At 44.5% G+C, this 11,376-nt stretch overlaps 2 annotated features.

Moving 5' to 3' along the window:
* Window positions 1,303–1,847: an enhancer, noted in NCBI's record as "OCT4-NANOG hESC enhancer chr10:26063372-26063916 (GRCh37/hg19 assembly coordinates)". NCBI's record gives its function as "activates a minimal SCP1, AML or CMV promoter by ChIP-STARR-seq in primed H9 embryonic stem cells {active_cell/tissue: H9 hESC(primed)}" and the evidence as "EXISTENCE:reporter gene assay evidence [ECO:0000049][PMID:30033119]".
* Window positions 9,444–10,059: an enhancer, noted in NCBI's record as "OCT4-NANOG-H3K27ac hESC enhancer chr10:26055160-26055775 (GRCh37/hg19 assembly coordinates)". NCBI's record gives its function as "activates a minimal SCP1, AML or CMV promoter by ChIP-STARR-seq in naive H9 embryonic stem cells {active_cell/tissue: H9 hESC(naive)}" and the evidence as "EXISTENCE:reporter gene assay evidence [ECO:0000049][PMID:30033119]".

Genomic DNA, 11,376 nt, shown 5'->3' with positions numbered 1-11,376 from the left:
TATTTAGTCAGATAGGGCAAAAGAGTCCTCGGCAGAACTTCCCTTCTAACAAAGAGCAGCTCCCAAAAACATTTCTTTTCTAACAAAGAGGAGCCTGAAAGATTGAGCTGCAAACATTGATAAAAAAGCTGGAAGCTTGCATGGGGGAATGCCAGCAGCTGTGCCAACAGAAAAGGGGTACCTAGGGGCCAGGCATGTCTACCCTGGGAGCTCCATCTTCCCTTTTTTGTTAGCATGTGTACAGTAAGAAAGAAATGGGCAACATGGCGCAGCTCAGGCTGAAAACCTGCCTGCATAATAAAAGCCTGGGGTGGGGGCTGCCAGAGATTCATGCCCTATGCAAATGGCACACCTGGTCCTAACCAGTTTTTCATGCCCTATGTAGATCAGACACCACCTCCTGCCAGCTCATCTATAAAATCCTCTGCCTTTCACTGCAGATTGGCAATCCATTTTTCTGGGACCCCCCAGTCTCCAGCAGAGAGCTATTCGCTTTCTTTCACCCATTAAACTTCTGTTCTTAACCTCACTCTTTGTGTGTCTGTGTCCTTGATCTCTGTAGCCATGAGACAACAAACCTTGGGTGTCACCCCAGACAATGAGGCAGCTTCATTACCTTCTCGCTTAGGAAGTTGCTCATCTACTTCTCAGGCCTAGCTAGGTGTCCAGAATTTCCCTTGAAAGAATTCAAGATTTCCCTTTATTTCCATGATTGGGATGGAGGGCCCACAGGCCCCTAAGAGGGGCCCCCGCTTCGTCTCAACAAAGGAAACATGAATTTCTAGAAACTTCAACTTGAAAAGAATAGCCATTCATTCAACAGAAATGTTGAGCATCTACCAAGTGCCAGTGCTGGAGATTTTACAGTGATAACTAACATGGTCCCTGCCAGCCCTTTGCTGCCACAGGATGCCTACTTGGCTTGCAAGAATCTATTGTTATTTGCAGGAATTTTACCAGCCTGTAGCCGGCATGTTGGTACTTTCAGGAGACAGCAAACTGAAGAGACAGCAAACCTGGACAGCTGGTTGTTAAACATTTACTAGCACATTACTGCTTCTTGCCCCCCTAGGACTTACACTCTAGTGGGGAAGGAACTTAAAACATAATTACAAGTGTGATAAGTAGTAGCAAGTGGACGACCTGGGTGCTATGGGAGGGCTTTGCCTGAGGGTACTCAGAAGTAAAAATTGACTTACATTCCTTCTTGTTTTTTGTTTGGTTTTTAGACAGTCTCACTCTGTCTCCCAGGCTGGAGTGCAGGGGTGCAATCTGGGCTCCCTGCAAGCTCCGCCTCCTGGGTTCATGCCATTCTCCTGCCTCTGCCTCCCGAGTAGCTGAGACTACAGTAGCTGAGACTACAGGTGCCCGCTGTCAGGCCTCTGAGCCCAAGCCAAGCCATCGCATCCCCTGTGACCTGCACATATACGCCAAGATGGCCTGAAGTAACTAAAGAATCACAAAATAAGTGAATATGCCCTACCCCACCTTAACTGATGACATTCCACCACAAAAGAAGTGTAAATGGCCGGTCCTTGCCTTAACTGATGATATTACCTTGTGAAAGTCCTTTTCCTGGCTCATCCTGGCTCAAAAAGCACCCCCACTGAGCACCTTGCGACCCCCACTCCTGCCCACTGAGCACCTTGCGACCCCCACTCCTACCCACCAGAGAACAAACCCCCTTTGACTGTAATTTTCGTTTACCTACCCAAATCCTATGAAACAGCCCCACCCTTATCTCCCTTCGCTGACTCTCTTTTCGGACTCAGCCCGCCTGCACCCAGGTGAAATAAACAGCCATGTTGCTCACACAAAGCCTGTTTGGTGGTCTCTTCACATGGACTCGAGTGAAATTTGGTGCCATGACTTGGATCGGGGGACCTCCCTTGGGAGATCAATCCCCTGTCCTCCTGCTCTTTGCTCCATGAGAAAGATCCACCTACGACCTCAGGTCCTCAGACCGACCAGCCCAAGAAACATCTCACCAATTTCAAATCTGGTAAGCGGCCTCTTTTTACTCTCTTCTCCAACCTCCCTCACTATCCCTCAACCTCTTTCTCCTTTCAATCTTGGCGCCACACTTCAATCTCTCCCTTCTCTTAATTTCAATTCCTTTCATTTTCTGGCAGAGACAAAAGAGACATGTTTTATCCATGAACTCAAAACTCCAGCGCAGGTCACAGACTGGGAATGCAGCCTTCCCTTGGTGTTTAATCATTGCAGGGACGCCTCTCTGATTATACACTCACCTTTCAAGGGTGTCAGACCATGCAGGGACACCTGCCTTGGTCCTTCACCCTTAGCGGCAAGTCCCGCTTTCCTGGGGCAGGGGCAAGTACCCCTCAACCCCTTCTCCTTCACCCTTAGCGGCAAGTCCCGCTTTCCTAGGGGGCAAGAACCCCCCAATTGCTTATTTCCACACCCCAACCTCTTATCTCTGTGCCCCAATCCCTTATTTCTGCACCCTGACCTCTTATCTCTGTGCCCCAATCCCTTATTTCCGTGTCCCAACCCCCTCTCTGCTTTTCTGGAGGGCAAGAACCCCACTCCCCTCCTCCATGTCTCTACGCTCTCTTTTCTCAGGGTTTGTCTCCTTCACTATGGGCAACCTTCCACCCTCCATTCCTCCTTCTTCTCCTTTAGCCTGTGTCCTTAAGAACTTAAAACCTCTTCAACTCACACCTGACCTAAAACCTAAATGCCTTATTTTCTTCTGCAACACCACTTGGCCCCAGTACAAACTCGACAATGGCTCTAAATGGCCAGAAAACGGCACTTTCGATTTCTCCATCCTACAAGACCTAAATAATTTTTGTCGAAAAATGGGCAAATGGTCTGAGGTGCCTTACGTCCAGGCATTTTTCACACTTTGTTCCCTCCCTAGCCTCTGTTCCCAATGCGATTCCTCCCAAATCCTCCTTCTTTCCCTCCCGCCTGTCCCCTCAGTCCCAACCCCAAGCGTCGCTGAGTCTTTCCAGTCTTCCTTTTCTACAGACCCATCTGACCTCTCCCCTCCTCCCCAGGCTGCTCGTCGCCAGGCCAAGCTAAGTCCCAATTCTTCCTCAGCCTCCGCTCCTCCACCTTATAATCCTTCTACCACCCCCCCTCCTCACACCCGGTCCGGCTTACAGTTTAGTTCCGCGACTAGCTCCTCCCCACCTGCCCAACAATTTCCTCTTAGAGAGGTGGCTGGAGCTGAAGGCATAGTCAGGGTACATGTACCTTTTTCTCTATCAGACCTCTCTCAGATCAGTCAACGTTAAGGCTCTTTCTCATCAGACCGCACTAAATATATACAGGAATTCCAATATCTAACTCTGTCCTACAACTTAACCTGGAGTGACTTAAGTGTCATCCTGACTTCTACCCTCTCCCCAGATGAACGGGAAAGAGTTTTTTCTCTAGCCCAATCTCATGCTGATAACTGCCGGCTTCATGAGCCAGACCTCCAGGAAGGCATTAGAGCAGTTCCCCAAAAGGATCCCCAATGGAACTACCAGGCAAATTCCCCAGGTATAGCTAGGCAAGATTACATGGTTTCCTGCCTAGTTGAAGGGCTTAAAAAAGCAGCTTACAAAGCTGTTAATTACAACAAACTTAAAGAAACCACCCAAGGTAAAGATGAAAATCCAGCCCAGTTCATGGCCTGCTTAGCAGCAACCTTTAGACGCTATACCGCCCTAGACCCAGAGGGGCCAGAAGGCCACCTTATTCTTAATATGCATTTTATCACCCAATCCACTCAGGTTCGACTCCTGGCTGGCTCGTTTGACAGCAACCCTGAGACACTTTACAGTCCTAGCCCCTAAAAGGTCAAAAGGCCGTCTTATTCTCAATATACATTTTATTACCCAGTCTGCTCCCGACATTAAATAAAACTCCAAAAACTGGAATCTGGCCCTCAAACCCCACAACAGGACTTAATTAACCTCACCTTCAAGGTGTGCAATAACAGAAAAAAGTTGCAATTCCTTACCTCCACTGTGAGACAAACCCCAGCCACATCTCCAGCACACAAGAACTTCCAAACGCCTGAACTGTAGCAGTCAGGCATTCCTCCAGAACCTCCTCCCCCAGGAACTTGCTACACATGCCGGAAATCTGGCCACTGGGCCAAGGAACGCCCGCAGCCCGGGATTCCTCCTAAGCCGCGTCCCATCTGTGTGGGACCCCACTGAAAATCGGACTGTTCAACTCACCTGGCAGCCACTCCCAGAGCTCCTGGAACTCTGGCCCTAGGCTCTCTGACTCCTTCTTGGCTTACCGGCTGAAGACTGACACTGCCCGATCACCTCGGAAGCCCCCTAGACCATCACGGATGGCAAGCTTCGGGTAACTCTCACAGAGGAAGGTAAGCCTGTCCCCTTCTTAATCAATACGGAGGCTACTCACTCCACATTACCTTCTTTTCCAGGGCCTGTTTCCCTTGCCTCCATAACTGTTGTGGGTATTGACGGCCAGGCTTCTAAACCTCTTAAAACTCCCCAACTCTGGTGCCAACTTAGACAATACTCTTTTAAGCACTCCTTTTTAGTTATCCCCACCTGCCCAGTTCCCTTATTAGGCTGAGACACTTTAACTAAATTATCTGCTTCCCTGACTATTCCTGGACTACAGCTATATCTCATTGCCGCTCTTCTTCCCAATCCAAAGCCTCCTTTGCATCATCCTCTTGTATCCCCCCACCTTAACCCACAAGTATAAGACACCTCTACTCCCTCCTTGGCGGCCAATCATGCACCCCTTACCATCTCATTAAAACCTAATCACTCTTACCCCACTCAACGCCAATATCCCATCCCACAGCACACTTTAAAAAGATTAAAGCCTGTTATCACTCGCCTGCTACAGCATGGCCTTTTAAAGCCTATAAACTCTCCTTACAATTCCCCCATTTCACCTGTCCTAAAACCAGACAAGCCTTACAAGTTAGTTCAGGATCTGCGCCTTATCAACCAAATTGTTTTGCCTATCCACCCTGTGGTGCCAAACCCATATACTCTCCTATCCTTAATACCTGCCTCTACAACCCATTATTCTGTTCTAGATCTCAAACATGCTTTCTTTACTATTCCTTTGCACCCTTAATCCCAGCCTTTCTTCGCTTTCACTTGGACTGACCCTGACACCCATCAAGCTCAGCAAATTACCTAGGCTGTACTGCCGCAAAGCTTCACAGACAGCCCCCATTACTTGAATCAAGCCCAAATTTCTTCCTCAACTGTTACCTATCTCAGCATAATTCTCATAAAAACACATGTGCTCTCCCTGCCAATCGTGTCCGACTGATCTCTCAAACCCAAGCACCTTCTACAAAACAACAACTCCTTTCCTTCCTAGGCATGGTTAGCGTGGTCAGAATTCTTACACAAGAGCCAGGACCACACCCTGTAGCCTTTCTGTCCAAACAACTTGACCTTACTGTTTTAGCCTAGCCCTCATGTCTGCATGCAGCGGCTGCCGCTGCTTCAATACTTTTAGAGGCCCTAAAAATCACAAACTATGCTCAACTCACTCTCTACAGTTCTCATAACTTCCAAAATCTATTTTCTTCCTCATACCTGACGCATATACTTTCTGCTTCCCGGCTCCTTCAGCTGTACTCACTCTTTGTTGAGTCTCCCACAATTACCATTGTTCCTGGCCCAGACTTCAATCCAGCCTCCCACATTATTCCTGATACCACAACTGACCCCCACGACTGTATCTCTCTGATCCACCTGATATTCACCCCATTTCCCCATATTTCCTTCTTTCCTGTTCCTCACCCTGATCACGCTTGATTTATTGATGGCAGTTCCACCAGGCCTAATCGCCACATACCAGCAAAGGCAGGCTGTGCTATAGTACAAGCCACTAGCCCGCCTCTCAGAACCTCTCATTTCCTTTCCATCGTGGAAATCTATCCTCAAGGAAATAACTTAGTGTTCCATCTGCTATTCTACTACTCCTCAGGGATTATTCAGGCCCCCTCCCTTCCCTACACATCAAGCTCGAGGATTTGCCCCACCCAGGACTGGCAAATTAGCTTTACTCAACATGCCCTGAAGTCAGATAACTAAAATACCTCTTAGTCTAGGTAGATACTTTCACTGGATAGGTAGAGGCCTTTCCTACAGGGTCTGAGAAGGCCACCGCAGTCATTTCTTCCGTTCTGTCAGACATAATTCCTCAGTTTAGTCTTCCCACCTCAATACAGTCTGATAACAGATGAGCCTTTATTAGTCAAATCAGCCAAGCAGTTTTTCAGGCTCTTAGTATTCAGTGAAACCTTTATATCCCTTACAGTCCTCCATCTTCAAGAAAGGTAGAATGGACTGAAGGTCTTTTAAAAACACACCTCACCAAGCTCAGCCACCAAAAAGGACTGGACAATACTTTTATCACTTTCCCTTCTCAGAATTCAGGCCTGTCCTCGGAATGCTACAAGGTACAGCCCATTTAAGCTCCTGTATAGTTGGTCCTTTTTATTAGGCCCCAGTCTCATTCCAGACACCGGACCAACTTAGACTGTGCCCACAAAAAAACTTGTCATCCCTACTATTTTCTGTCTAGTCCTACTCCTCTGTTCTCAACTACTCATACATGCCCTGTTCTTGTTTACACTGCCGGTTTACACTGTTTCTCCAAGCCGTCACAGCTGATATCTCCTCGTGCTATCCCCAAACCGCCACTCTTAACCCTTGAAGTAAATAAATAATCTTTGCTGGCAGGACTATGCTGAATCTCCTTAGGCACTCTCTAATCAGATGTCCTAGGTCCTCCCAATTCTTAGACCTTTTATACCTGTTTTTCTCCTTCTTATTCCATTTAGTTTTTCAGTTCATACACAACCATATCCAGGCCATCACCAATCATTCTATACAACAAATGTTTCTTCTAACAACCCCACAATATCATCCCTTACCACAAGATCTCCTTTCAGCTTAATTTCTCCCACTCTAGGTTCCCATGCCGCCCCTAATCCCGCTTGAAGCAGCTTATGCCCTGCGCCACCTTAACTGATGACGTTCCACCACAAAAGAAGTGTAAATGGCCGGTCCTTGCCTTAACTGATGACATTACCTTGTGAAAGTCCTTTTCCTGGCTCATCCTGGCTCAGAAAGCACCCCCACTGAGCACCTTGTGACCCCCACTCCTACCCACCAGAGAACAAACCCCCTTTGACTGTAATTTTCCTTTACCTACCCAAATCCTATAAAACGGCCCCACCCTTATCTCCCTTCGCTGACTCTCTTTTCGGACTCAGCCCGCCTGCACCCAGGTGAAATAAACAGCCATGTTGCTCACACAAAGCCTGTTTGGTGGTCTCTTCACATGGACTCGAGTGAAACCCGCCACCACGCCTGGCTCATTTTTGTGTGTGTGTGTGTATTTTTTTAGTAGGGACGGGGTTTCACCATGTTAGCCAGGATGGTCTCAATCTCCTGACCTCGAGATCCACCCGCCTCGGCCTCCGAAAGTGCTGGGATTACAGGCATGAGCCACCGCACCCGGCCGATTTACATAGCTTCTTAAAGTCAACTACATTCCTCCTTAAAATGTTTTCAGCACCGATTTATTTTTATTTATTTTTATTTTTGAGATGGAGTTTCACTTGATTGACCAGGTGATCTCAGCTCACTGCAAGCTCTGGCCTCCCAGGGTCAAGTGATTCTTGTGCCTCAGCCTCCTGAGTAGCTGGAACTACAGGCATAAACCACCACACCCCATTAATTTTTTGTAGAGATGGGGCTTCACCATGTTAGTCAGGCTGGTCTTGAACTCCTGACCTCAAGTGATCCGCCTGCCTCGGCTCCCAAGTGTTGGGATTACAGGTGTGAGCCACCACACCTGGCCAGCACTGATCTTTACCACATCTCTGAACTCCATTTTATATCTCTCCTATAAAAATAATAATGTATTACCTAGTGTTATAGATAGGGTGCAGTGTAGAGAGATCTGAACTCAAAGTGAAGCCCTGACATTGCCAGCCTGTTTGGCTTTGGACAAGCCACCTAACCTCACTGAACTCAATGTTTTCTTGTGTAAAACAGAATAATCGTGATGCTTTGCAGGGTTATTTTGAACATCAGTATATTAGATGTATAACAATTAAATGCATTTTTAAATCATTTTTAGTCATGCAATTGTTTTTATTCTAACTCCTACTAGATTTTAAATACCTTAAGGAAAGACAGAATATTTTATTTCCAGCATATGCTAGAAGTTGACATATGATAAAAGTTTGTTGAATTAATTCATTCTTAATTGAATTAAATTGCCCCTAAGTGTCTGTTTGAAAAGATAAACTGGTTATTTCAATTCAGATCTAGAATATGCACTGCTTTGCTATGCTGGAGTTGAGGATACATTTGTTTTAAAACTAAAATAAAGGAAAACATTAACAAAAATTGTATTTAATTTTAACAAGTTAGTAATGACAGCACCAACTACATCAAAATTACTAAAGCTATTGATGCCTCTCAGTACGACCTTGGTAATAATGATTTTTGTTATTCCATCAGAGAAATTTCCAAAAAAGGAGTGCTACGTTTGATAATGCAACACATAATCCTTTTAGCGATTCTGCTTTCCGTATCTCCCTTATTTCCATATTCCAGATATCTTGTCTAAGTCATTTCTAAATACCTTTGGAAACTGATTTTTAGAGTCTTGCATTTTAAGAGCTGGAAGAGATCTTGGCAATCATTTTTAGCTTCATTTTGCAGGTAACTGAAATTTTAAAAAATAAAGGAGTAAAGGTCACACTATGAGGAAAAATCATCCCTTGTTAAACTGTTTGGCTTAGACAGATTGGAATCAGAACTACTATTTTCTGTTTTTTTTTTTTTTTTTAAACAACCCTGTAAGGGAAACAAGAAAATATGAATTATAAAAATAGTCCCATACAACCATTGTGGAAAACAGAACAAAGTCTCCCTGCTGGCACCAAAAAATATGGCAAATGAAATAAATGAAGAATGAATAAAGCCATATAAATTAAATGTGAAATTGCACTAGCAAAAAATAAAAAAGAGAGAAAACAAATTTTCTGTTTTCTTCATAACACATGTGAATGACCCAATCTGAAGCAATGGGCATTATTGCTTCTTGTGAATTGCCTTTTCTTTTTCTTCCCAGACATTTCTAGTTCTAATCCTGCTGTCCTTCCTGTATTTGAAAACCAAATCAAACGCTGAGTACGTCAGACTCTTAGATAGGCCGACGTTGATAAGGTTCTCTGGCACAGCACGGCTTCTTCCCCTCGCTTAACCTTTTTTCTCCTAATCCTTTCCGATCTGAGTCCACCGATTTTATATTTCTAAGCAATTAATTTTTTGGCTGGGCTGCGCGATCCACAGGTGGGGGATGATTGACAGCGCGCAGATAGGCTCCATCTGTTGGCGGCTGATAATGGCATCCTGGGGGCTTCTGGGTAATGTCTTTGCACACATAAAAGGGAGCAGCCTAATCTATTTGCAGCTCAGGCAGAAAAAGCCCCTCAGCTCGCATTGTTATTCAACAGGAACAATTGGTTACAGGCAGCACGTTTATGGGCACAGTGGGGTGGCTTGGGGAGGGGGCAAGGTTCCCACAGTGAGCGATGATTCCTCTAAAGCCCATGGTATTTTTCCCTCTTTGGGAAGAAAAGAAAACAAACAAAAAATAGATGCGATGGGGAGAGGGGGAATTTTGTGACAATCCCAGGAGAGAGAGAACTTGGGGTTCCTGCCTATCCTTGGCTTCACACATTATCAAAGAAAGATGAGGAAAAGGGAAATAAATAATGATAATAATTAGAATTCAGTTGTGATGTAAACAAATAAATGAATACAGAAATGGTAGGGCTGGCTTCAGAGCCTCCGCGAAGGCTTGGTTAAATTCCTGGGTTCCTCATGGAATGTAAATGACAGCACTGGTGTTCTGGTAAGAGCATCCATGTGCAGGGGACTACACTTTAACAGAAAGATGATCAGGCATTCATCTAGGGTGAGTAGGGTGGGGGTAAAATTGCTTTACTTGTGAAACAGATATTTCAAAGGCTCTGGACAAGCAGGACAAAGATATTCAAAATCAGAAAGATTTTTAAACATTGTCTTAAAGTATTTATAATTAGCAAATATTTCAGATTTAGGTAAACAATTGACGTGGCAATATTTGAGAAGAATATTTAAGGCTTTTAATCTAAAGCCTTAAAAAGGATGAAGTTTTTTTGCTTGTCTGATTATCTTATTCCCTCATCAGACACCAGTTGGAGACAATTCAGCCTCATCGTCCCTTGCCAAAGGATGCAATGATTCTTAAGGTCAGTTCTTCTACTTTGATGTATCAAGTTGGATTTTTTTACAAGCAGTCTTTGATGTATTAAGTTGGATTTTTTTTCCCTCCCTTCTATTTTCTCTCTCTCATGTTCTCTCTCGCTCTCACCCCACACTCATTTCTCTTTTGGAACTCAGTAAATAAAAGTCCTTTTACACAAGACAAGCATATCCAGGTCCATTTTAAAACCATGCTTGCCATAGTAGTCGGTCCTTATGGCCCCCTAGCATCACTCAGACCCACTAAAACACATCCAGCCTCCTTGTCTCTGGGTGTTTTTATCTACTCGGAAAGACAATCTATATGGTGATTTGAGAATCCTTAATGGGTAAGGAAATTAAATGCGTATTTGCTTACAAGCATATAAAATGACTTGTTATCTCCTTTCACAGCTGATGTTTAGAAGATGAACCTATGTCAATAAGCATTTCTTTCCTCCACACTTAAACTCAGAATTATCATCTACCAGAAAGAATCAGAGGTGATATAAATGCAGTAGACAATGAAGTCGGTGTCTAAACAGCACTAACATCAATGCTCTTTAAGTGATTGAAAATAGAGTCAATATTCCATCAACCTCATTCATACTAGGGGGGCAGGAAGCTGGAGGCATTATTTTGACTAATATGACACTAAATAGTTTACAATGGATTATGTAATATTTTGGGGAATATGACACTAAATAGCTTACAATGGATTATATGTGTGAGTGACATATACATTCTCATGGTCATGATAATTGACAAGACTCAGGTTTCTGGAGATACTGCTTTCTTTATCTCTGTAACTCAAGTTGACTTTTGATTCTCAGTGGCTAATTCTACTCTTGGTGTAAAGTGTAACTTAGTCACTTCTGAGATTTTTCTTCTATCTAGTCCAACAATTTCTCAGTCAATCTGTCTCTGCATCATATTTTGTTCTCTATTTTACACTCCGATCAAGGTCTAATTCCACAATTCTCAAATTCAGTCAAGTGAAGACTGTCCCTTCTTGACTTTTTGGAAAGCATCTCCTAGGGTTCAGGGGGAATTTATCTGTTAGTGCACAGGAACTATCCACAGTCACGTGTCT

Source organism: Homo sapiens, chromosome 10 (assembly GCF_000001405.40).
Source record: "Homo sapiens chromosome 10, GRCh38.p14 Primary Assembly".
Taxonomy (NCBI): domain Eukaryota; kingdom Metazoa; phylum Chordata; class Mammalia; order Primates; family Hominidae; genus Homo; species Homo sapiens.
Note: the sequence above shows the minus strand (reverse complement) of the source record. Positions and strands in the feature narration are given on the sequence as shown.